This window comes from Homo sapiens, chromosome 1 (genome assembly GCF_000001405.40).
Source record: "Homo sapiens chromosome 1, GRCh38.p14 Primary Assembly".
Classification (NCBI taxonomy): domain Eukaryota; kingdom Metazoa; phylum Chordata; class Mammalia; order Primates; family Hominidae; genus Homo; species Homo sapiens.
In genome coordinates, this window is record NC_000001.11 from 203,332,169 (window position 1) to 203,358,461 (window position 26,293).

A 26,293-nucleotide genomic window follows, 5' to 3' on the forward strand; every position below is an offset into this window, starting at 1 on the left:
TACATTGGTCTTTGTTATATTGCTTTCTGTGCTTCACTGTAGGTTTTTAATTAATTAATTTTTTTTTTTTTTTGAGACAGTCTCACTCTGTCACCCAGGCTGGAGTGCAGTGGTGAGTTCTTGGCTCACTGCAACCTCTGCCTCCGGGGTTCAAGCGGTTCTCCTGCCTTAGCCTCCTGAGTAGCTGGGACTACAGGCAGGCTCCACCACACCTGGCTAATTTATGTATTTTTTAGCAGAGACAGGGTTTCGTCATACTGGACAGGCTGGTCTGGAACTCCTGACCTCATGGTCCGCCTGCCTCGGCCTCCCACAGTGCTGGGATTATAGCATGAGCCACTGCACCCGGCCCATTGTAGGTTTTTAAAAGTTTCATAATTAACAAAGTAAGGAAAGATACAGACTCAAGAATAAAAGTGAGCTGGGCGTGGTGGCTCACACCTGTAATCCCAGCACCTTGGGAGGTCAAGATGGGAGGAAGGCTTGAGGCCAGGAGTTCGAGACCAGCCTGGTCAGCATGGCAAGACCCCATCTCTATTAGAAAAGAAAAGAAAGAAAAGGAAAAGAAAAGAAAAGAAAAGAAAAGGATAAATGTGAGTTGTCATCTGTATACACCAACCCAGGATGTCCCCTTTTCTTTTTCTCTGCTGTTTAGTTTGGTGAATAGACGATGCCTTCCTTGGGCTGTTTTTGCTGTTGTCAGGGTATCATACACCAAGGCCTGGGTTTCAGGTGCCTGGGACTTAGTGCTTGGCTGGTATTCCATTCCCAAGGCCCTGGAAACATCTGTCTGACATCCTAGATGAAGCTCTTTTGTCTGCCTTATGGAAGTCCCTGTTAGATGGCACAGTGCATTGAATAGTGTCCCCCCAGGATCCATGTCCACCCGGAACCTTACAATATGACTTATTTGGAAACAAGGTCTTTGCAGTTATAATTAATTAGGGGTCAAGATGAGATCGTAAGATAAATATGTACAAATATTACGTGTCCGTAATAAATAAAAATAAAAATAATTTAAAAGATGAGATCCTAATGAATTAGGGCGGGCCTGAAATCTGATGACTGGTGTCTTTTTTTTTTGTTTTTGAGACAGAGTTTCACTCTTATTGCCCAGGCTGGAGTACAATGGCGCAATCTCAGCTCACTGCAACCTCCACCTCCTGGGTTCAAGCAATTCTCCTGCCTCAGCCTCCCGAGTAGCTGGGATTACAAGCACCTGCCATGACAGCTGGCTAATTTTGTATTTTTAGTAGAGATGGGGTTTCACTATGTTGGCCAGGCTGGTCTCGAACTCCTGACCTCAGGTGATCCACCCAGCTGGGTCTCCCAAAGTGCTGGGATTACAGGTGTGAGCCACCGCTTCCGGCTATGACTGGTGTCTTTATAAGAAGCAGAAGACACAGAGACAGGGAGAAGATGGCCATGTGAAGACACAGGCAGGTGAAGACTGGAGTTATACTAGCACAAGCCAAGGCACACCAGGAGCCACCGGAAGCTGAATGAGGCAAGGAAGGATTCCTAGAGCCTTTGGAAGAAGCATGACTCTTCCAACCCTTGACTTGGGACTTCTGGCCTCTGGAACTATGAGAAAATAAATACATCTTAAAAATTGTTTTAAGCTACTCAGTTTGTGGGTACTTAGTTACGGCAGCCCTAGGGAACAAATGGAAATGGGTTCTGTGGATCTGAAACCAGATTCAAAGCAGTGTTAGCTTTCACCAGGATGTAATGTTTCTGGATTAAGAAGGAGGTGTTTGTATGTGGCAGTCCTAATTTATATAAGGTCATTCTATACCCCTGTTGGTGTCTCTCTTACCCAGTTCCACAGAGCTGTCTTGGCGGCTGGTATATGGATGAATGCAAGGCCAGGCATGGTGGTTCACGTCTGTAATCCCAGCACTTTGAAGGGCTGAGGCAGGAAGATGGCTTGAGCTCAAGAGCTTAAGACCAGCCTGGGCAACATAGCAAGACCCTGTCTCTACAAAAATTGAAAACCAAATTAGCTGGGCATGGTGGCGGGCACTCGTGGTCCTAGCTACTTGGGAGGCTGAGGTGGAAGGATTGCTTGAGTCTGGAAGTCAAAGCTGCAGTGAACCACGATTGAACCACTGCACTCCGGACTGGGTAACAGAACAAGACCCTGTATCAAGGGGGAAAAAAAAGATGAATACACCTCACAAACCCCTTCCACAGATTTCTTGAAAGGAAAATCTTCTATTTTTTGGCTGTTCGGCATCTGAGCCCTTTATTTATTTTGGGAAATTCCCCACTATGTGAGACAGAGCCTGACTCCTATTATTAAATATGAGATTGCCAGATACTCACCTCCCAGTCTCACTTGCTGGTAGGGCACTAGCACCTGACTTGGTTCTGCCAGTTTGACTTGGAATTGAAAGTTAATGACATGATAAAGCAAAGGCCCTGTGGAACCCACCCTGATGACGGTAGGGCAGTGATGGCAGTGGCCTCCAGATTCCATAGGCAGGAACAGCAGCAGTTCTCATAAATGGAGCTCCCGAGTCTGTGCCAGGGCGGGGTGGGGGGTCTTTATGGACATGAACTTGGGTCCTTGGGTGTTGTTTCTGATTGCATGCCCTCAAGCTTGGTCTGGAGCCCTCCCAGAACTACCTGATATGCCATCCCCCTTTAAACGAACAAACGAATGAATTCTCGTTCGGTTTAAATCAGCTAACTTCAGTTTCTGTTGTTTGCAAACTAAGAACTGGGACTGACACAACCCAGCCTCTAGCTGGTGGTCTGGCCCCAAATGGTCCTTGATGATTATTTCTTGGACTTCTAGGACATGAATGTTTAAAAATATTCTGTTTTGGCCGGGCCCAGTGGCTCACGCCTGTAATCCCAGCACTTTGGGAGGCTGAGGCAGGAGGATCACGAGGTTAGGAGATCGAGACCATCCTGGCTAACACGGTGAAACCCCATCCCTACTAAAAATACGAAAACGAAAAATTAGCTGGGTGCAGTGGCGGGCGCCTCTAGCCCCAGCTACTCAGGAGGCTGAGGAAAGAGAATGGTGTGACCCCAGGAGGCGGAGGTTGCAGAGCGAGACTCTGTCTCAAAAAAAAAAAAAAAGTCTGTTTTATTGTCCTATGAAAACATAGGTATTTATTAAAATGTGTCATAATTTTTGGCTCAGAAAACATAATAAGTGAGGCCAATGAGAGATGCTTTTCATAATTTTAAGGTGCCTATGGGCTGAGAGTCCCCTTAGGGGAGGACGGGCCAGGAAACACCACCTGACACTTGCTCTGGGCCAAAGCCCTCAGGGCTGTTCTGGGTCCACTCCCCTGCTGCCATAAGGACATCCCCTCTGCTCCTGGCTTACCCTTGCTACAGGGCTTGGAACTGCTTATGCCCCTGACGCCTTGACCGTGTGTATACCTTGATTGTATATATCTGTTTCTACTTTGGGACTTGAGTTTTCTGGCTCCTTCCTTGGAATAGCTTTCCGCACACCTTCTTGTGCAAACTGCCATTGTTGGTCTTGTTATCTGACTCAGATCTACCTCTGGGACTGCCAGCTAAGCCTGGCACTGATAGCATGCTTCTGTTATTGTCCCTGCCTGCCTCCAGAGTCCTATTTTGCCAAAACTCATGGCTCTGATGAACACTTGTGGAGAAAATGTGGGGATTATTGGGGTAGAATACAAGGACAAAGCTGCCGATTCTCTATTTCTGGTGGGTTGTAAGAAAGTTCAAGACTGACCCCTCTGATTTCCAATACTCTTGCTTATGTAGGTAGGTCTTCTTATTGCCTCTTGGAACTCTGACCCATTTCCTGTTTTTATTTCTTAAACTGGGTCAAATGTACTTCTGTTCTTTCTCCCCTACGTGTAGCTCACAATCTGGACACATAGATGGAAACAGCTCATTTATCTTTAGTGTTTGCAGTTTCTTTTGGAGCCCAGCATGGCTGGGCATGGTCTGCTTGGTCCTTTTGTCCATTCCAGTCTTTCTGGACTCATTTCCCCCTTCTTCTGCTCCCTGGACCACACGGTCCAGGAAAGGATTAGGTCCAGTTTATTGTGCCATTTCATGCAGCACATATGAGCATGGCCTAGTTTCCAGAAAAGTTTCCTACTCTGGAAACCTGGGCTGCTACAAGATTGAGCAATGTGTTTGCTCCATCTGGGCACAACTTTCTAGCCTAGGTACCCAGAGGCTCAGCTGGCAACAGGAGTCATGTCTACTAGCTCCCATCTGTCTGAGGCAGAAGAATTTCTGGGAGAGTTTGAGGTCTACACAGGATACTGAGTCTCCTGATGATATACATCAACTGTGGACCCTGCATCTGAGTGCTTAGTAGAATAAATGGCTGAGCTAGCAAACAAAGCTAACAAAGAAGTGCATTGCAAGCCCCCAGTGAGAGGGAGCTTGGGGCTGTTCTGCAGCATTCCTGGCTACCCTGCCCCTCATCATTCCCCACCCTTGGAAAAAAAAAATGAACATTTTGTCCCTATGCCTTAATTGGCACTTATAGCAAACTACCTCATGGGTTCTTGAATGAACTAGGTGTCTTTTAAGTTGTTAAGGTAAAACAAATGTTAGTTATTATTATTTCTATCACATGCCATGGCAAGAACCTTGAGAACTTTACATTCAACTTTCACATACTAAATGCAGCAACTACTGACACATTATCTAGCTCAAGGTTTGCATTCAGTAAAAATTTGTTGAGTGATTAAGCTATGTTCATAGAGAGAAAAGACGATGATTTGCCTATTTTTCTTGCCTTCCCTCTATGATCCATGTTTCTGCTTGTCTTTCCTTGGCTTGACTTAGAGAGAAATGGGAAATCCTATCTTTGTTTTTCATACATCTAACAGAAATGTAGCATTCCTTTCAATTATGAAGGTAACAAACCACAGCCTTATTAGCAGTACCTGAGGCTTTGTCACCAGCTGAAATCACATATATTTTTATTTATTTTTTATTTTTTGAGATGAAGTCTCGCTGTTGCCCAGGCTGGAGTACAGTGGCTCTATCTTGGCTCACTGCAGCCTCCGCCTCCCAGGTTCAAGCAATTCTCCTGCCTCAGCCTCCTGAGTAGCTGGGACTACAGGCATGCGCCACCATGTCCAGCTAATCTTTGTATTTTTAGTGGAGACAGGGTTTTATCATGTTGGCCAGGCTGGTCTTGAACTCTTGACCTCAAGTGATCCATCCGCCTGAGCCTCCCAAAGTGTTGGAATTACAGGTGTGAGCCAGAGCACCCGGCCCACAGATTTTTTTTTTTTTTTTGAGACGGAGTCTTGCTGTGTTGCCCAGGCTGGAGTGCAGACCGCTCACTGCAAGCTCCGCCTCCCGGGTTCACGCCATTCTCCTGCCTCAGCCTCCCGAGTAGCTGGGCCTACAGGCACCCACCACCACGCCCAGCTATTTTTTTTGTATTTTTTAGTAGAGACGGGGTTTCACCGTGTTAGCCAGGATGTTCTCTATTTCCTGACCTCGTGATCCGCCCGCTTCGGCCTCCCAAAGTGCTGTGATTACAGGCATGAGCCACCGCGCCCGGCCAGCCACCGCGCCCGGCCAAGATATTTTTATATCACATTACAGTTGTTAAAATAGTTTGATATGCCATTTACATGCATCAATAGTTTGAAATGACTATAATTAACTAGACCTGTTGCTAAATCTTGTTATTCATCGACTTAATAAAGAAACATATATATTATTATATCAAAAATGTATATGTTTTATATTTTGGTAACTGTACTTCAATGTAATTAGTTTCCTTTGTAATCCTTTACAAAGTCTTTGTAAGCCTAGGCATGTGGCCTAGGCGGGCAGATCGCTTATGTCCAGGAGTCGGAGACCAGCTTGGGCGACATGATGAAACCCCATCTCTACAAAAAAGCCAAAAGTTAGGTATGGTGGTACATGCCTGCAGTCCCAGCTACTTGGGAGGCTGAGGCAGGCAGGAGGGTTGTTTGAACCCAGGAGGTGGAGGTTGCAATGACCTGAGATCGCGCCACTGCACTCCAGCCTGGGTGAGAGTGAGACCCTGTTTCAAAAAAAAAAAAAAAAAAAAGGCCGGGAGTGGTGGATCACGCCTGTAATTCCAGCACTTTAGGAGGTCGAGGTGGGCGGATCATGAGGTCAGGAGTTCGAGACCAGCCTGACCAACATAGTGAAACACTGTCTCTACTAAAAATATAAAAATTAGCCGGGCGTGGTGGCGCACACCTGTAATCCCAGCTACTCAGGAGGCTGAGACAGGAGAATCGCTTGAACCCGGGAGGCGGAGGTTGCAGTGAGCCGAGATTGTGGCACTGCACTCCAGCCTGGGCGACAGAGCGAGATTCCTTCTCAAAAAAAAAAAAAAAAAAAAAAAGGAAGTTGGGAAAAAGTGGGCTAAGTGGGCTGCGATTTAAAGGTTTCAGAAAAGGCTGGTGGTGCGAGATGAGATGCTGCCCACTAGTGGCTAGAAGGCAGAACTGTGAGCCTGCATGTAAGGCAGGCCCTGGGACATGGGGTTTGGGACGGTGGTAATTAAGTTTCTTCGTACTTGGGTCTGAAATAAGAGAACAAAGCCTACTGCCTTTGACCCCTGCCTACTGCATCAGCGTGATCAACTGAAACTCTCTCCCTTTCTCTCTGTGCTGCAGCCATTTTCGCTGTCTAGAGCCTCAGAAGCTTCCTTGTGCATTAGGGTGTGTATGCATGCTGCTATCTTTGCCTGGACCTGCCCTTCCATCTCTTCGTCTGGATTACTATGCTCTCACTCTGTATCTCAGAGTATCTAGGCCAGGCTCCTTGATAATCCTGGTGTAGACCTATGCTCATCGTCACAGCTCTTTCTCAGTCTAACTACATGATCCTCAGTGTGATTTTTTTGCCGTTGTTCAAGGACTGTCACTGCACTGGACTACAAGCCCCCAAGGGCAGGGGCTGTTTGCTTTTGTTCTCTGCAGTATCCCCAGTTCCTGCTCAGTGGCACTCACTAAACATTTACTGATGAAAAGTGAATTTTGAATTGGAAATTCATAAAGGAACTGTGAATGCTAGCAGAATGGATTTGGGTCCATCTCCAAAAAAAGTAAGATGATCTTTCTCTATTTATGACAGCCAGTGACCCACAAGCCTCCTGCATACACCTAATAATCCAACAATACAAGGATCCTTAGGACAGCACAGTGTAAATAATATTGCAAAACTGACAGGCTGGGGAGACAGACGGCCAGGGTCAGATCCTGGCCTTGATGCGTCCTTCCTGGGTGACCTCTGTGTCTTTGTTTCCAGTTTCCTCCTCTGTAAAATAGTGAAAATAATAATCTCCATGGTAGAGAATGGTGAAGAATACTAAATAAGTAAAGCCCTTAGCACATAATAAGACTGATCAAATGGCAGCTGAAAGAAAAAGAGTCAACTGAGCCTGAGGGACAGTCTATTCTTGCTACTCTGTTTCTTACAAAGCACTGGGTTTAGAAACAAGGGAAGCCTTGCAGCAGGGCTGGCTCCCATTCCTCTCCCTGCTCTGTCTTGGTTGGGATGCTCATGGGAGCTGCAAAGAAGCAAAAACGGAGAGGCAGAGGATTCCTCCTTATAGTTAGATAATTCCTGCCCTATGTGCCACATCTCTGTCTCCTCCACATGGCATCTTCCTGTACTGGAGATCCAAGGCAGAGGGGCCTTATCTGCTGTCCTTGAGGAGAGGACTGTGATTAGAGCTATGATTTCTTTCTGGTAGTTTCACACACTAGCATTCCTGCCTAACTCTCACGTCAGAGAAGTATAGTCAAATTAGTTTACTTTGGCTTAAGATGGAGTTGTAACATTTGCAACATGCTTGGTACAGAATTTAGTGCCCAATAACTATCAGTTGTTATTTCCCTATCAGAAAATAGTGGATTGTTCTGAAGGCACAAGCCTAGTCTGCCCTCCTAACTTATGCGACATTTGCTAAGCACCTATCACAACATCTGGCACTCAAAGGCTTTCACGATATGAACACAGGATGAATGAGAAAACAAATGGGGGGTAAAGGTTTGTTTTCCTCTTCCAGGGCCAACGGGCTTTGGCAGGCTTGGCTGCCCTCAGATCTGCACAGTTGCCACTAGAGGGCAGAAGCAGTTAAGACAACAATACCCAGGACTAGCCAGATCCCGAATTACCGGCTTTGCAAGAGAGGATGGTGGAAAGGGTTGAAAAAAAAACCCCAGTTATTCTATATCTCTTGGGGACCATATGGAAGGGAATGTGTAGAGAGGATTGAAGTTAGACTTAAAGAAGAACTTCCAGAACACAGTTTGCTAACTACAGCTTTTATACAAGTGACTTTTTTTTTTCATTTTTTTTTCCTCTTAGCTTCATCTGCCCGAACAGAATAGATGAGAAAGAGGGCTCATCAGTCCAAGGCCTGTGTGACCTGCGACCTCACCAGGTCCTCCTAAAGTAACCCTCCTGCAGTCTGCTTTAAATGACTCCACTCTTGTAGATGCAATCATAAAATAACTTTATTGGTCAGGTTAGCCACCACTCATGCTTTTCCTGTAATAAGGATCCTTTATAAAGGCATGATGGTGTTCACATGCAGATGCTTTCTGAAGAGCCCTGGGGCAGGGGGCAGCCTTGCCCCTCACATCGGAGCTCCTTTGTTGAAATGAGCTGGTTTGGCTTTTGTGGATTCCAGGTCTGGAGCCAAGAACGTAGTCCAAAGATCCCCTCTTCCCTTCTCAGGGAAGGTGCTTCAAAGCATACACAGTATCAGGGATGTGATGGCATCTGGGCAGAGCCTATACTTGGGCTAACTCTCCTCCAACAGTCCTTGCCCCTGACTGCCCAGATGGCTTTGTCCCAACCTTGCCCAAAGGGCAGGTGGGTTAAGCCCCAGGCAACATTACCTTTTGAAATGGGAAGAATTAAGTGCTCCCCAGCCAAACTATAAAGCAAAAGCCACCTTCACTAATGAGGATATAGCTCAGAGATGTGAAAGCAGAGGGTTGTATGCCCAGCACAGGCAAGATTTGGCTGCCTGGCCTGGGCTTCACGGACCCCAGCCAGAGCTGGTACTTTTTAACTATGGCCTTAGGACAAACCAGGTGAAACAGATTAACCACATCCTCCTTCTTTGGGCTAGCAAGTCCAGGGCTGCCTGGAGTCTGTCTCTACCATCAGGATATAGAATCTTCCTGCTTGGATAAAAGGAGAGGACAAACTGTGTTTCTCATACTTTAAAAACCATGTGGCCGCTACCTTTGTGGATAAAAACCCAGGTAGGATGCTGTTTGGAATGCAGAAAGTGCTGGGCAAGAATGGAACTACTGGGGCTGCTTTCTCAACTCAGCCAATTTGAGGTGTGTTTGGCCCATTGCAGATGCTGATGGTAAGCAAAGTCTGGCCTTTCCTCTTCTGAAGTCTTATCCACCTTCAAAGAGCTACCCAGCTGCCAAAATATAGCCCTATACATTGATCTAAGCCTGAGGTTGGCTGTCTCCTCCCACATCAGGTCATGAATATTATCATCATGCTGGTGACCTCCAATCTGGTGGCTTTCCAGGGGTGAGGTTAGGGAGGTATAGAAGTGACTCCTGGTGTCCTTTCACCCTCAGACACAGTGTGGGTTGTCTCCACAGGTTGCTGGGCAGATGCTCACATGCCTTGGGGTCTCCTGACTCTGCTTAAGGCACAGAAGAGGCATCTGTGGAGGAAAGTGGAGTGGGTGAAGTGGATTTCAGAAGAGGCAGCTGGGCAAGAGGTATATTTTGAGAAGCAACAAATGGGAGCCCAGAGTAACTGCACGACCAGCCCAGCACAGAGGGAGAGCTGTCAAGTGCTGCTCACAGACAGCCAGGGATTGTTAGAAAAGTATGGTTATATACTATTGCCCATGCCACTTTTGAAGTTCCATGACCTCAGATCATTGGGAAGAACTTAAGAGCCGTGAGATTTATGGGGTTGGAACATCCAGGGATCCTTCCATCTACCACCACTTCTGTCCCTGGAAAAGAGTGAGCTTCTGCCTATGTCCTCAGCAGAAGGCTGCCTGTCCCTGATCGCCCCCCCTAACCCCACCTACAGGAAAGAAGACTACAGAGGGTGCCCGTGGACTTCTGTCACATGGTCCATCCTGGACCTTCCAGCAAAAGCCAAACCAAACCATCAAGCCAAATGCCACGGGGGCTCTCCGCCCAGTACCCGGTGCCAGGGCTGCTCAGATCTCGATGAGGCTGGCAAGGCGCAGGCAGAGGGGCGCGTCGGCAGGCATGGCGCTGCGCTTGATCTCGTTCCCGTCCAGGCGCAGCACCTGCAGCTTGGAGAAGTTCACGACGTCCACCACGGTGCAGAAGCTGCTGATGGAGAACTCTGTGGGGACAAGAGGAGCACGGGTCAGGGAGAGAAGCCCAGATTACGAACCTGAAGCCACAGTGAGATTAGCCTTTGTGAAGCAGCTTAGATAAAGGGGTGGAAGTTGGGGATGGAGGGCAGATGTTTTCCAGGATTGGAGTCATACTTACTGGCGCCACTAGGGGCAGAACTAGGGACAGAGTGAGGACTGTGCCTGCGTCTGCAGCTCACCTCCTAACCACCAACCTGAACTTTACTCTGCAGGCCCAGGAATGTTCTTAAGCGTCCTTCCCTCTGGGACATTTTTTTTTTTTTAGCAGGATAGGGGGGCAGGTGGGCAGCTGTGGGCAGCAGTAGGAAGCAGAGGGTAGCCAAAGACCAACCGTAGACACCTTGAAATACTTGATTGTTTTTGGAGAGGGAGGGCTTTGCTGAATTGCTGTGAGAAAGAAGACTGGGGAAATGGAGGGACTTAATACTTTACAGATAGAAAAAGTGGCAGGAAATTAAAGAGAGAAAGCCTGGGCCGAGAGACAAGTGTCTTTGTGTGCCAGGGCTTTGAGTGGGTTGCACGTCTCCATTCTAAATACTGCCAGAGCAGTGAGCAAGGCTCTGAGTTTAAAGGAAGCTGGGGACTCATAGAGCACTGGGGCTGCTAGGGACCTCAAAAGTCAAATAAATAATTTCCCTGCCTCCTGCATTTAATATGATTACAATCTACTCCCTTTTTTAAACCTGAAAAGAAGTCTCCTAAGATTTTCCCCTAAACCGCAGAATTCTAGTAGAGACAATAGTTCTGCTTGGATGGTATTAGCATAAATCTTTCTGTTGCTATTAACCCTGTTGTCCCTCTGGTTGTCCTCTTTGACAAATCAACCACTCTGTCTCCAGTCTACTGGGTCAGTAACTTGAAAGGAAAAGCCAAGAACTCAGCTAAAACTTCAGGAGAGATGGCAAAAGTCACCATTGAAAGCTGAGGAAGCCTCGTAGGGCTGTCTTTACCATGGTGAATGAGGCTTTCAGGAAACTTGCTCCTGTTGTCATTCTCTGCAAAGGGGGTTTGAATGAAGTTACCCATTGGGTCTTGAGGGTAGGATTGTCCATGGACACATCCCTAGCAGCTGTAATACTTGGGTAGACCCAGAGCTGGGGCTTGCTGTTGTACCAGAGGCATCCATCGGCTTGCAGCAGTGGTCAGGAGGTGCGTCAGTCTGGGGCCAGGCACGAGGAGTGGGGGCAGGGGGTGCTTTTCTAACTCTATTCTTAGGTGTGACCATGAGGGCTCCCCTTGGGAGAGGTTATAGGTATGAAGAAGACAGTTCCAAGAAAGACAGCATGGAGAGCTTAAAGAGGCTGATGAAAAAAGTGTTTTTAAATTAGCATTTTCAATGGTTTTCAGTCTCTGTTAAGCACTGACCAAGATAAGATGAGGTGAGGTTGCAGCAAATTAACTTGTATTGCAGGCATAACACAGAAAATCTAGGCCTAAAGAAAATTAGACACTGAGAAAAGTAGCGGAAACTGGGAAATACTCGTCTTTGGAAAACACTCCTGGTGGGGTAGAATTTCTGGAATACTTTTGGATGTTTCCTTTCTGGTCCCAAGGACTAGATTAAGTGGCCTCTGAGTGAGCAGGTTGGGGGCAGAGCCTAGACCGGGGCTGGGTCTATGTTATCTGTGTACAAGCAGAGCAGTGGGGTGAGGAGAAGAAGCAAAGTGGCTCAGCTTAAGTATCATTTCCAGCCCTACTTAGGATGGAGCTGCAGGCTCCGTGATAGATTCTTTCCCAGCCTGGAGCCCTCAGACTGCCTGCTAAAATTCCAGATCCCAGCTGTGGATAGGTAAATGTGGGACATACCTGTGGGGAGCTAGACACACAGTGTATATGGACTCTAGCCACATACTGGGTACTGTGAGCACCCCCCCGTCTTCCCCAAGCCCATGAATAGGACAGGCTTCTGCGTGGAGGCACTGGAGGACATTTTTCTAGCCCAAATTAAATACTGACATAAGTCTTTCCAAATTCCTACTGGTGTACCCGCCCTGCTCCACTGAATCCCAAAGCTTCTGAATAACATTCTGAGCTGTGTTCTTGCCAGGCTGGAAAAACTGAGGGAGATACTGATGGAAGAGGGAAGTGGCGAGGAGAGGACCACATCTGATTCCCCTGTGCGCCCCTGAGCTCCTGTTCTTCTTTAAGCTCCTCTCTCAGAAGCTTGTTTCAATCCCACCTCCAACACCCCCCATCCCCAAGTCCCTGACTGGTTTGCAGGGAGATGTCCCTCACGTTTGCTGTAGGAGAGGGGGCTGAGCTTGGGGAGCTGTTTTCCTGCTAGTGGTCTGCATCAGAGAGATATTCCTCACCATTCTCAGTCGGAGATGCCTGGCTCTAGGTCCTTTAGGTCAGGATTCTAATCTACATCATCTGGAGGACTTTGAGAGATGGCTTTACCTTCTCTGTGTCTCTTTTTCCCCAAAACAACAACAAAAACTGCCTGTCAACTTTAAAGTGGCAATGAGAAGAAAGGCTAATAATAATAGCTATCATTGGTTTTTAAATTCTATGCCAGGCCCTAGACAAAGCACTTTACATATATTAATTCACTACTTTAAGGAAAATAAAGCATTATTTTGTCTAAAAAGAAGGCTGAGAGAGACTAAGTGATACCTAGTCACGGGGCTTGGACTTAAATTGCACAAGAATTGATTTGGGAGTAGACACCGAAAATTTGGGGGTTGTTTGAACAGAGAATTTGTTTGCGGGACCTTAGGAAACTGCACTAATTTTATTTTCTGACAAGCGTCTGGAAGAGGTGGTCCACCTCCCATTTGAGTGGCAGATGTGGTTCTGCATGAAGGCAGAACGATGATAAAAGGTTGTGATGAAGCCTTTTCCATCCCAACTTTCTCTGATTGTATGGGTAGGTGCTAATAGATTCTTTCCCATGACAGCTGTTCTTTGCTGTCACAGTTTCAGGGTCAAACTTGGATGAAGCACAGCATACGTGTGACATTTCTGATGTGACTGCTCCTGGATTCAGAGTGTGTGGCAGGTAAGTAGTGGTAACTGCTGGTGTGATGATAGACAGCCACAAGGAAATGTCAAACGTCTGCAGCTTGCAACATCTTCAAGATGTCTTGGCTGGGCGCGGTGGCTCATGCCTGTAATCCCAGCACTTTGGGAGGCCGAGGCAGGCAGATCACGAGGTCAGGAGATCAAGACCGTCCTGGCTAACACGGTGAAACCCCGTCTCTACTAAAAATATAAAAAGTTGGCCGAGCGTGGTGGCAGGCGCCTGTAGTCGCAGCTACTCAAGAGGCTGAGGCAGGAGAATGGCGTGAACCCAGGAGGCGGAGTTTGCAGTGAGCTGAGATCATGCCACTGCACTCCGGCCTGGGTGACAGAGCGAGACTCTGTCTCAAAAAAAAAAAAAAAGACGTCTTAGAGGACCCCTCAATCCCCACCTTGGGAATAAAAAGACCCCAAAGAAAGAGAGATTTTAATAAAAAAGAGTTTAGGCTGTACATGATGGTGTCAGGCACTTCAAACTAAAGGTGCCAGACAGATGCCTCTTTGCCTTGCCCACCCGACTGTCAACTCCCAAATTGCCCTCTGGGGCTGGTGCCTCTCTCACTCAGAGGGCTGCCCAGCTTGTTAACATCTTGCTCAATGACTGATCTGTTCCCTGAGCACAGGGGAGAAAGGAATGAGAGGGAGAGGGTGACGACTCTGTTCTTCTCAGCGCTTTGATGGTGCGGTTCTATCTCAGCAGGCTCCACTTCAAAGCCCTTTGCCAGTGGTCGTTAATGAGTCCTCCCTTCTCCAGATGGAAGAGGACTTTGCTGACAGGAAGGGAGGTCAAGTGCTGGCTCAGTACCTTCCAGCTGGGATTAAGACATCAGAAGCCCTGGGGTAATGTAAGCATGTTCTGAATACTAGATCCTAAGACTAAAGGGAGCTGAAAATCAGCTAGATAATTCCATCTGAAATGAATATTTCTTAGAGTCAGGGAGGCAGCCTTTTTTTTTTTCCTTTGGGCATTGCAAGGAAGTGCTTATGAAACAGGAAGCCCAGTGTCCTAGGCTTGGTGGTAGTCAGGCTCATGTTACCCTAGGAAGGATATCTGCCCTGCCACCAGGGGGTCCTTGTACTCCAGGAAGAACTGACCAGAACAAGTGCCGCATTCAGCTCTGAGAATAAACACCAAAACACAAGACCAGGCTGTAGACGCAAGAGTAGTTCAAGTGGAAAAAGAGAGCTCATCCTCTTCTGGGACAGTGAGTAAGTGCAGGGCTTCAACCCACCATTCTCCTGAAACAGACTTTAGAAGCTAAACTTAAATCTCCCTCCCTTTGAAGTATTCCCTCCTAAACTTCTCCGAACTCATCTCTTACTGCTCCCTGACACATGACCCCTTCATCTCAGACACGTGACATTTCCCAGCTGTCCCCTACATCGACAGGTGACCTGTGAAAATGACTGGCTCCTTTGTGGCAAGCCTCTGTCCCAGAATGTCTCCATCCTGCATACCCCCAACCCATGCCCACTTATCTCTCAAGACCTGGAATGAAACTTACCTCTCCTGGAAAGTCTTCTTCTGTACCAACCCACTCCCCACTGAATTGTCTTAGCACTGCTATTTAGTATAAGTGTATTCTCTTTTGTACAGGGGTATGGCTTGGTTGTCAGGTTGCTTCATTTGTGCTGTCTGGTTCCCCTATTTCTATTTCTTTTGTTTTGCCACTAGCACTCAGAATAGTGTCTTTCAAGTGAAATAGACAGCCAGTCCCCGCCTCCCTTTGCCAAGGTCTCACCATTGATCCTATTGCCTTGGAGGTAGAGGTTCTCCAGGTTGGTGTTGACTGGGGGGATCTTCTGCAGCTGGTTGTAGGAGAGGTCTAGCTCAAGGAGGCTGCTGGAATTGAAGGTGTTGGAGGCCAGGCCATTGTTGGTTAGACTGTTGTGGGACAGCCGCACATACAGCAGCTTGGGCGCCCCCCGGAAGTAGCTATCGGGGACGGTGTAGACATTGTTGTGCTCCATGTACAGCTGCTCAAGAGCTGAGGGCAGCCCATCAGGCACCTTCCGAAGGTGGTTATAACTCAGGTCCAGCAAGATCAGTGACCGGAGGCCCCTCATGGAACTGCCCACTTCCTGGATCTCATTGTGTTGGAGGTACAAGGCCGTGAGGTTCTCCAGCCCCTCCAGAGCATTGTTGGGGACCCGTGAGATCTGGTTGTGGTCGAGATGGAGCTCTCTCAGGGATCGAGGCAGGGGACCGGGCATCCGGGTCAGGTTGTTGTGGTCCAGGTACAGCCTCTCCAGGTGCCTCAGCTTGGAGAAGACCTTCCTGCCCACCTTATCACTGGTGATCTGGTTGCCGTGGAGAGCAATCCAGAGCAGCCCTGTGGCATTGTCAAAGACGCCTTCCTGGATGGAGGTGATCTGGTTGTTCTGGAAGTACACATACTTCATGCGGGAGGGAACGAAGGGCAGGTACTTGAGGTTGCGATTGTCACAGTACATGGCCGTGGGGAAGTTGGGTGGGCAGTCGCACTCCTGGGGGCAGTCGCGGGGATCTGGAGGGGATGGAGAGCCGTAGGTGTAGGCTGGCCCTTCATCCACCCCATAGGGGTAAGGCTCGTAGGTCTCATACGGGTAAGGGTCATAGGGATCGTAGTAGGTGGACTGCTGGCTGCGGAGGTAGTGGAACCACCAATGAGGGTCATCTTCATACTGGGCCTGGGAGAGGGAGAAGAGCCCTGCCAGCAGCAGGAGGGAGGTCCACTGCATTTTGTCTCTGCAAGAAGCGGGAGAGAACAGAGCAAGCCAGCATGAGTGAGACTCCACAGAGGCAGTGAGGCAGAGTAGGCAAGCCTTAGGCTTTGAGCTATGCAGAGCTGACTTCCATGTCAAACATCTGAGAGCAGGAGCCTTGCTCTCATTTCTTCGGTGCCTCCTCCCAGTCTGGTTCTGCACTTGGTCCAGCCGGACCATGGCTATTTGGGGTGAGCTAAGTGCATTTTCCCCTGGTCATAGAGTCACAGACAGAATGTCTTTGAATGGGAACAGCTGCATTTTTTTTTTGGAGGGGCAGATTCTTAGGAGCCTCTAGCACTCTGAAAGTCCTGTGGGAAAGCTGAAAAGCCCACAGCAATCCCTGTGTTTGTGGTGTGGTGGTAAGGATGGTAGTGGGATGCTCTTCAGATCTGAACCCAAATCCAGTTTGGATGTTCCGGGGAAATAGTATTTTTCTAAGAGTCCAAGGAGAAAGCCCTAGGATGGGAGACCTCCAGAAGCCGCTTGACGCATCGAAGGGGAAGAGCTGAACTACATCTGGAAAATCTTTTGGTCTCTTGGGCAGGCTGGGAGTTTTTGGTCTTGAGTGTTTGGGGAGGAGTGTGGTCCCTCTGCAGCCACCACAAGGCTCAGGTTGCCCTCCAAAGTGCCATCATCTGTAACAGTCTGCTGAGTGAGGAAACTCACTGGTTAGCAGTTTGTGGCTACACATGCAACTTGGCTGGGACAGGGTCTTCATGCAGCAGTTACAAATCCTTTCCAGACTGAGGACCCTGGCACTGGGTGTGGCACTTGCCTTCTAAAGCAGGTACTCAGTGTGTGAAGTCTGAGTTAATCTGCTTCTCTCTTCCATGGTGCCTAGTAAGGTGTTAGCACTCCTCATGCTCCACCATGGGCATCATGCAAGAGCCATGTGGGGCCAAGAGAAATGAATGAGGGACACCAAAAGAATAGCTAGAGATTGGAAACTCTTGTGTATGCTCAAGGGAAAGCAGCTTGAGGTAGGACCCTGACATTCTCCTCTCCTTTCCCAAGCTACCTGCTCCCAGCGATGACACCTAGATGACCAGGCTCTGTGTCTAGGTCCCCACATTGCTGGAAACCTGTTGCTTTTGAACCTGTTGTGCTAATGAGATAGGAACAGGGCAGACTGAAGAGGAAATGTGGGTCTGATGTCATCTGAGAGGGAAACTAAAGGTATGGAAGGTAAGAGACTAGGGGTGGCCTGGGTACCCTACCCTGGTTACCTATAGCCAATGCATGACATACTCCTGTGAGCAGTGGGCATCTTCCTGAGTGTCACCCTTGGACAGAGAAACCTTAGAATCTTTCTTGGCCTGGAAGAGTCACATACAGCCCTCACATTGCTGTTGGGCCTACTGGGGTTGGCAACTGTAAACAGAAGAAAGAAAGGAGTATAAAAGCCAACATCATCAGATCCAGTGAACTGATGGGAAAGACCCCAACTATGACACTCAACAGAGTTACCTCCTGACCACCATCCATCCCAGACCTCTCTGTCCCCTCAAAACAGTTTCCTTGGGCCCACTTCATCCCATCAGTTCCTAGGTTGCAGAGGAGCAGGCACCCTGGCTCATCCACAGGCAGCCTCAGGCCTCAGACAAAGAGCCACAGTGTTTTGGAGAAGCTGACCCAACTGCCCACTGCCTGGGCAAGCTGGCTGGTTCCTGGCTCTGGCCAGGAGAGAAGACGAATGGAGCGGCCCACTGCCAACAGAGCATTTTTCCATGCACAGCCCTGGGCTGTTGCAGGACCAAGGTGGCTGTCTGGAGGGCTGGCACAGTGAGCCTCTGTCTCCGTTTCTCCTTCTTTCAGACTGGGCACCTTGGCAGACAAGAGCCACCTTCCCCTTCAGACTCAGCTTTCTAGGGGCTGTGCACCCTGCCCACTTCAGCCTCTTCTTAGAGCCATGGGTGCTGAAAGGGTTTGATGGGGAGCTTATGCCTCTCCTTACCCCATCCCATCTCTTAGCAATGTTGCTTCAGGGTTGCATAGTCTTACACTGTTTCCCATAATGCTAGAGGCCCTCCTGTGCTCAGAGTTTCTGTAAGGTCGAAAGTTTCCAGGACTGCCACACTATCAGCTGGGGGAAGTTTACTCAGGAGCTACTGCTGTTCTTTCATTTCTCCACTCTAGAGAAAGATCTCTCCCTCCTATCAGTGGAGAAGGTCAAGCCAGAGGCCATCCCCTCACCTGGATTGCATCCCCACCCCAATCCACAGCTCCCTGGACATGGCCAGTTCTCAATGCTTCTTTTTATTCTCTCCTTTCCACTCCAAACACACACACACACACACACACACACACATTCTACACAAAAGTTTCCCCCTCTCCCATAATAGCATTTATGTACCAAACCCCTCTATAAGAGAGATTGCAGGGACATCCAGGTCTTGGAATACCCTTCAAAATGCCCACACTCCCAGCATGATGGGATTTATGAGTAGCAGGGAAGAAGCTTCCCTAGACAGAGGGTCCTTCACTTTTTCATGCCTGAGAATTGGAGGTCCCCTCAGCACCCATAAAGGAACTGTAAGAGAAAGGTACAGGGCTGGAACCCCTCCCTTATACACCCTCTCTGCCACTCTCCAGCATCCCTGGGGTCATGGCCCAGATGTGGAGAAGGAGGAATGAACCCTCCCTGCCTCCCCATCTCCCCTATCCCCTACCACTTTTCCTTTATTTCTTTTAAGGAACTGCTAGGGACAAACCCGAAGTAAAACGACTATACTTACCTCAAGTTGAACTTTTCAGAGAGTGACCACGTCCCTCTGTCTGGCCTCCTTGGGTTGGAGAACGTGTGAGAGAGGAAGAGAGAGAGGAGTGAAAGAGTCTACTGAGAGTGTGCGTGCCTGTGCCAGACCAGGGTCCCGCCCCAAATTCCTAATCAAATATTGTGAAAAGGGGCTGAGGAACCCGGATCCTGGTTTTTTTCAGCTCTGCTGCAGGGGCGGAGTTCACGCTCAACCACGCAAATCCTTCGGTCCGCCTGACGCTATAAAAACCACCTTTTTTCCACTCACTTATCTTCCCTGAAACATTGGCAGCCCTGGGTCCCTTTCTGCTGAATGAGTTAGTGGCGCCCTAGAAGTTATTTGTACAGTCTCTTATGAAGCGCCTGGATTTCTCATTAAAGCCACAAAGGCAGATGCAGGGATGGGGAGGGCCAGGGTTTGGTAAGAGACATCTTAACTCCTTCAGCAACCCACATGTCCCTCCAGAGAGCGAGAACTCGCGCTTCTCAGCTCCCCCTATAGACAGGTCATCAGGCTAGTGGATAAGGGAGCATGAATGACAAGGGACAGCCGGCTCTGGTTCCAGTTCTATCCCTAAGCAGTGTAGACTTTTCTAGGCTACAGGTCCTGCCCACCTCCACCACTGGAACAAAAGGAAAGGCAGGGACTCCAGCATTTGCTGATCACTGCTTATGCACTAGCATCATCCACTTCCACTTAATGCTCACAACAAATTCAGAGTTAATAACACTTACCTTGCTGGGTTGTAGCAAGGACTGTATCAGGTGATGTGTGGGAGGCTCCTGACCTGGCACATAGCTGAGGTTCACTGTGTCCTACCCATTTCACAGCCATAGAATTCCTCAGCCAGGGAAAGACAAGATCAGAAAGCTGGGCAGGAGCTGTACCATGAAAGGACTTTTGGGCGATGGAAGTGATTTGGTTTTTATTCTAAATGTTTTTGTTGTTGTTGTTGTTGTTTGTTTGTTTGAGAAGGAGTCTCAGCTGGGCGTGGTGGCTCATGCCTGTAATCCCAGCACTTTGGGAGGCCGAGGCAGGAGGATCATGAGGTCAGGAGATCGAAAAGGAGTCTCGCTGTGTCGCCCAGGCTGGAGTGCAGTGGCACAATCTCTGCTTTCTGCAACCTCCGCCTCCCAGGTTCAAGCCGTTCTCCTGCCTCAGCCTCCTGGGTAGCTGGGACTACAGGCACACGCCACCACGCCCAGCTAATTTTTTGTATTTTTAGTAGAGACAGGGTTTCATCATATTGGTCAGGCTGGTCTTGAACTCCTAAACACAGGTGATCCACCCACCTCAGTGCCCCAAAGTGCTGGGATTACAGGCGTGCGTCATCCGGTCCGGCCTATTCTAAATGTTTAAAAAAAAAAACATGTTTCAAGCAGGAGAAGCCATGGGATCTGATTTGCATGGGATCTAATTTACATTTTAAAAGCATGTAGGAGGGGCTGCTGTATGGAGAAGGGGAGGCCAGGGTGGAAGCAGGGAGGCTCCAACCCAGCCTCAAGGAGAGGTAATGGCAGATTGGACTGGTGCAATGGAAGAGAAGATCTTATATTTTAGACAGAGAACTGACAAGTCTTGCAGAGTTAGGAAAAGTCAAGGATGATTCCTAGAATTTTAGTTTGAGCAACTGGGTAGGTGGTGGTAACATTTCTTGACATGGGAAAGGTGACGTGGGACTGAGTTGGGTAGAAAACCAAAGTTACATTTTGGATATGCTGTTAGAGATGCCTGCTAGGCATTCCCCTGGAGATGCACGTAGACCGTTGGACATATGAATCTGAATCTGGAGTTTAGGGGCTGGAAGAAAACATTTGAGAACCATTATAATGTGGGTCACACAGAATCTCAATAGCTTAGATAAACTCATGTGTCCTAAATGTTCTCTCCTCAAGTATGTTAACTGGCTTATGCCAACATCAAAGAAACACCTTTATCTTAAAAAAATACCAACTGAGAAACCCTGAGATGACTTGAATTTGAAGAATTTAGAAGTGTCGAGGCAGATGGTCCTTTTGGTTTCTCCAATAGGTTTGAGCTTTTGACTTAGCGTGTGGGCTGTCAGAAAGGGCCTTGTCAGGGACCCATTCTCAGAATTTAAGAAGAGATTTCAAAAAGATGAAACCTAATGAATGAGCCTTTTCTGACCACCTACTATAGACTAGGTGGTTTACTTATGTTATCAAAGATAACAGTAGATATTTTGCATTGGAATTAGTGTTTTTTTTTCAAAGCTACTTTTAATACTTTGGGGTGAGCCCCACAGGAATAAAAAAACACTGGGAAGGGGTAACCTCCCACCCGCCACTTCCAGGAGGGGCCAGGGGGAGAGAGGCTACGTGAGGGGAAGGAAGCACAAAAGGGACCCGCTGCAGACTCAGGGCAAAAGGAGGCCATGGGTGCGGGGACCTGCGGGCACTGCAGGAGGAAACGTGAGGGTGGTGGGACTGGCTCCAGTCACATAGGCGAAGGGCAGGAGGGTTGGACATGAAGCCACAAAGCTACTCGGGTTCCTCCTTCTTCTCTTTTGCCTTCTTCTGCTCCTGCTGCTTGGTCTCTGAGCTCCTCTGCTTGCCGCAGCAGCAGAAAGCCCGTCATCTCGACGTTTTCCCTTAACTGAGTCACTCTGCTTTTTCCTATTTTTCTAGCCAGTAAGCTCATGCTGGTTACTGCGGGTCATGGTGACAGCAGTGGCTCCGACCTGCCTCTGTTATGTCACCTCATTCTGTCAGGATTTTTTTTTTTTTATTTTTGACCCTGCTTTCAGCCAAGGAATTAGGGTTTTAGTGATATAAAGTGACTAGCTGGTAAGTGGCAAAACAAGGATCTGAACCTTGGTCTACATGACTTGAAAGCCCACACACTTTTCTCTAACTCTAGCACAGAGGATTGGCAAAGTGGAGGGGCAATGACTACCCTGCTGTCAGGCTGGCCTCGACTAAGATGAAGCTTAATTAATTACGATTGACCAATCTGCCTGAATCTGGGGGCAGGGGGGTTTTAAAGTGAGATGGGGCTGGGGTATAGGGGTTCTCTTCCTCATCCCACCCATATTTCATTTCCGTTTAATAAATTTGAGCATCTACTATGTGTTGGGCATGATCCTAAGTGTTGGAGACACAAAGAAGGCTTCGGTATAATGCCTGATTATAATAAAGCAGATCTGAATGTAGCAAACTCTGACCTCATGAGTGAAGCAGAATGGCCTTACTGTGAAAATGCTTATGAATAATGCACAGATAACTTTCTAGTCATTTTTGAGTCCAGAAAGCAGTCACCTTTCAGTGGAGGACACTGATCTTGGCAACCGAGCCTGGGAAACACTTTTAAATGAGCCTAGATAGCCTGGACAGATTCACCATTGGGTACAGATGTTTATTTTTTTAAATTCCAGCATGCTGACTAATTCTGCATTTACTAACAATGAAAGTTACTAAAGTCTGGGAACCAAATAGTGACTGGATTCTTCCCAACCGGGCACCACCAAAAAGACAGTATCTCCATGGGGTTTTTTGGCCATTTCTAAAGTGGTGAGATGTGCACCAGGTCTTTAGCTATCCATCCTGTTCCAAGGCAGGCCTGGGATGAAGGAAGGATGGAAGGGATGATTGGGACCAGGTCAGAAGGCAGAGTTTCAGGGAACCACCCACTGTTCAAAAGTTCTTTTCTCTAACCTTTAGTGGAGGTTTCTACCTCCATTTTGGCCACTGCTGCTTTGTTTGCCTGGTTCCTGGATCTAGGCCCTCAGAGCTTGCCTTCAACATGGGAAGCCAAGAATGAGATATTGATGTCCACCAGATTGCTTGCTGAGGGAGTCCACATGTGAAGGAGGACACCAGTATCTTCTAGGGGGTGTCTAGCCAGCACTATGCAGTCACTAGACTGAAAATAAACTAAAGAGAAAGGCAATGTCATGCATTTCTGTAGCCCCTGTCCCAGCTGGGCACACAATGCGTTGGCACTTAGTAGGCAATCAGTAAAGGGTTATGAAAGGAATTGTATTTTTGGCTCCCCACAGAGTATGTCTGTCTTCAGTACTCAATGCTGGGTGGAAAAACCACCACCAACCAGGCCAGGAAAACCTTTAGACTTTCCAGGGGTTCAGGCCACTGCTATTTCCTCCCTACCCAGAAAAGTACAGGTTAAGCCACAATCACTAGGCAAAGCTCATTGCCTCTGATGCTGGACCCACCCTGTCTGGGAGAAATGAAGTCCCTTCTGACTCAAGTTCCCACCAGCAAAGACACAGTGACGTTCTTGTGGCCACCAACCCTTTTCTTCCTCTTCATCCCCCACAAGACTCAACAACCCTTGTTTTTATGATCCAGCCTCTGATCCCAGATAACTCAGGGAAGGTGGAGGGCAAGAGGGTGTGACTGAAAACCCACCCAACCAGATTTCTTGAATTGAATATACAGAGGTCAGCAGAAAGATGACCATGGCGATATTATATAATCCAGACCCCGCTGCTGGCCCATCCTGAAAACTCTTGACGCCAGCGAGGGAGTTTTTCCTAGTCTGATGTTTCAATGGAAATTCTTGGCTACATTGGCACCCAACAATGGTGTCCCAAAGCTTCCAAGAGAGATATTTTCTCCTATTCCCTTGGCACCAAAGGGCCATTAGAAGTCCTCATCATGGAGAGTGTCCTCTTTCCAGAAGGATGAGAGCCATGAAGATGTTGGAGCTGGAGAAAGACTTGTTTTCTTTGAACTGCAATAGGAGAAAGACCTCAACTTCCAAGTTCTAGAAGATGCCTGAGGGCTTATAATTTCCTTTTAGCAATAAGCTGCTTAAAAAGAAGGTAGAGAACAACCTTTCTCTTTTAATGGATAGCATCTCTTATTTTTACTGTGTGTTTACTGCATGCTTGATATTGTTAACATGATGATGACATGATGGATCCCAGAAGACCACTTTCTAGAAGGTATGAGTGTATTTGAGTCAGGAAAGGGGGGCCGTTCAGGGAGAGATACCTGAATAAGGAAGGAGGCAGAGGGGATAAATTAAAACCTGAAGGCTAGAGGATTTGGCCATTCAGTGACTCTGTACATGATGTTCACCTTTGTTCTGCAAATGAGCCAAGAACTAATGGTGTCCCTCAGACTGTGCTGAGGGCTGTTGGAAGAAACCAACATAAGACAGACCAGCTCCCAGGATGCTATTAAGGAAATTACATGACTGCAGGGGAGAACAGACCCAGATATTAGCTCTAAAATGCCAGTCCTAGATATTAGCTCTAAAATAGTTTAGCTCTAAGTTAGCTGAAATACCAGCTATCATTTCTGAGATTCTCACCACAACCCTGAGATAGGTATTATCATACCTTATTTTTACAGATGAGGAAATTGAAGTTCAGAAAAGCTAATTAATTTGTTCAACATTGGATAGTAATTAAATAGCCAAGTTGGGATTCTAAACTTAAGTCTGGCTGTTCCCAGAGTTTGAGTTTCTAACCACTATGCTATATAGAATCTCCAGTGTAGAGGAAAAAGCATGGGCTTGGAACGTAGTTATATGCTCAAATTCCAGCCCTACCACTGATTAGCTCTGTGACTTTGGGCTAATTGCTTAAGTATCAATGAGACTCAGTGTCCTCATTCATAAATGGGGACAATAACCGTAACCTCGTTAGCCATTGGGAGGATGAAATGAGATAAAGAATAAAGGCTTCTAGCAGAGGGGCTGCCATGTGATGGCCCTTCAGCAGCAACCACTCTTGGTTATTTTAATAGATTGGAAGCTCCCTGAGGAAAGAGGCAATGTCATTGTGCCTTCAAAAGTTAGCACAGTGCTTGGCCAAGTGCTGGCCTGTAGAAGGCCCATTCTAACCCTTACTTGAATAAATGAAAGGTGAAGAAGTTAGCTTTCACTAGAGGCAAGTAAATCTACTTTGGTAACTTAAACCAGAGAGAAGCTAGCCAAGGGTAGAGCAGGACTTTTGATGACTGGAATCATCAAACCCCCAACAAGAGCAAGAGAGCAGGGCAGGGTTGGTACAGAACTGTCTACAGCTATGGAAAAATATCTTCAGGGGATATATAGGAAAATATCTTACTTACACAGGGTATATTAGTCCATTCTCATGCTGCTATGAAGAAATACCTGAGACTGGGTAATTTATAAAGAAAAGACTCACAGTTTAATTGCCTCATAGTTCCACATGGCTGGGAAGGCCTCAGGAAACTTATAATCGTGGCAAAAGAGGGAGCAAACATGTCCTTCTTCATGTGGCAGCAGGAGAGAGAAGTCCCGAGTAAAAGGGGAAAAGCCCTTATAAAACTATCAGATCTCGTGAGAACTCACTCACTGCCTCACTGTCACAAGAACAGCATGGGGGGACTGCCCCTATGATTTAATCACCTCCCATGAAATACCTCCCACAACACATGGGGATTATGGGAACTACAATTCAAAATAAGATTTGGGTGGGGACACAGAGCCAGACCATATCACAATGGGTCATGGAAAAGGTCAGCATCCAAGAGCCAAGTACAAAGCATCCCAGAAGAGATGTCCTGAGTCTTAGCAGTTTAAAAATCAAGTTTGGAGTTGGGGGAAGAGTTGACCAAGAATACCACTTAAGCAGTAGCATCATTATGAATTCCCTGGAGCTAAAGAGACAGGGTAGCTCCTACCTGGGATGGGTGGGGACATTTCTTCAAGGTGAGAAGCGTGACATATCCCATGTGCCCATCCAAAGGTCTAAGAACTTGGATTCTAGTTCCATTGGAGTTCAGTGAAAACCCAGAATAATGACCCCTAGTAATGTGTGAGATTTCTTTAACTCTAGTTTCTTCCATTGTCTGTTTGCCTGTGTATAGTCCTTATGGTAAAGCAACAGTTAGACAATTTTTTAAAATAAAGAAAACCTCTTAAAAAGAGGGATCTATTTAGGAAAGCCAATGTATCATTGTTGTCTTGGAAAGGGAGTGGATTTGGGGTCAGACAGAAAGGTTTTGAATTCTGGAAATCTAGAACATTTCCTAAATTGTTTTGGTCCTCAGTTTCCTTATGTGTAGAGTAGGGATGACTAACACCTATCTCAGTGGGTGGTTGTGAAACAATTGTAAGTATCCAGCATACATCTGGCTTAGGCTAGATGCTTAGAAAATGCTCGCCTTGGGTGTTTGTCCAGAGACTAGTTGGTGGGTAGAAAGGAGGACCCTATGTCCTAATCTATCGAAAAATCGAAGGGAAGATTATTTTAGTAGGAATGTAGGTGGTGGCAGCTTGGAAAAAAAAAGAGAGGACATACCTGACATTTGTGAGACAAAACAGAAGTAGGGATTTAACAGACCCAAAGCGTCTAAGCTTCTGACAGTACAGCCCTCCATTTAAGAGGGATGGTTCTCTCGCTCCCCCCTCTTTTTTTTTTTTTTTTTTTTTTTTTTTTTGAGAAAGGGTC

At 47.4% G+C, this 26,293-nt stretch overlaps 1 protein-coding gene and 1 pseudogene across 3 annotated transcripts, besides 2 other annotated features; both read right to left on the reverse strand.

Moving 5' to 3' along the window:
* Nucleotides 1–8,459: 8,459 nt before the first annotated feature.
* Nucleotides 8,460–18,954, reverse strand: FMOD (fibromodulin). Of its 3 annotated transcripts, XM_047416304.1 has the most exons (4): nucleotides 18,877–18,954; nucleotides 17,078–17,088; nucleotides 15,124–16,109; nucleotides 8,460–10,326 (listed from the first exon to the last, which is right to left on the reverse strand). In XM_047416304.1, exons 3-4 carry the CDS (start codon nucleotides 16,100–16,102, stop codon nucleotides 10,175–10,177), a joined length of 1,131 nt encoding a protein of 376 aa, XP_047272260.1. In that variant the 5' UTR covers nucleotides 16,103–16,109; nucleotides 17,078–17,088; nucleotides 18,877–18,954; the 3' UTR covers nucleotides 8,460–10,174. The 3 variants fall into 3 exon arrangements, 2 of the variants coding, with proteins under 2 accessions (XP_047272260.1, NP_002014.2); NM_002023.5 differs by lacking the exon at nucleotides 17,078–17,088 and having other exon boundaries at nucleotides 18,865–18,954; NR_103757.2 differs by lacking the exons at nucleotides 15,124–16,109; nucleotides 17,078–17,088 and having other exon boundaries at nucleotides 18,865–18,954.
* Nucleotides 10,223–10,725: an enhancer, noted in NCBI's record as "H3K4me1 hESC enhancer chr1:203311519-203312021 (GRCh37/hg19 assembly coordinates)". NCBI's record gives its function as "activates a minimal SCP1, AML or CMV promoter by ChIP-STARR-seq in naive H9 embryonic stem cells {active_cell/tissue: H9 hESC(naive)}" and the evidence as "EXISTENCE:reporter gene assay evidence [ECO:0000049][PMID:30033119]".
* Nucleotides 13,709–14,369: an enhancer, noted in NCBI's record as "NANOG-H3K4me1 hESC enhancer chr1:203315005-203315665 (GRCh37/hg19 assembly coordinates)". NCBI's record gives its function as "activates a minimal SCP1, AML or CMV promoter by ChIP-STARR-seq in naive and primed H9 embryonic stem cells {active_cell/tissue: H9 hESC(naive and primed)}" and the evidence as "EXISTENCE:reporter gene assay evidence [ECO:0000049][PMID:30033119]".
* Nucleotides 21,115–21,615, reverse strand: LOC100131747 (small EDRK-rich factor 2 pseudogene; annotated as a pseudogene).

Bases quoted from the DNA above. Each gene is read 5' to 3' on its own strand.
- FMOD (XM_047416304.1), bottom strand. From the start codon at position 16,102: ATGCAGTGGACCTCCCTCCTGCTGCTGGCAGGGCTCTTCTCCCTCTCC. The intron at 10,327-15,123 runs GTGAGACCTTGG...TTGTCCCCACAG, and splicing joins CCAAGGCAATAGGATCAATG to AGTTCTCCATCAGCAGCTTC.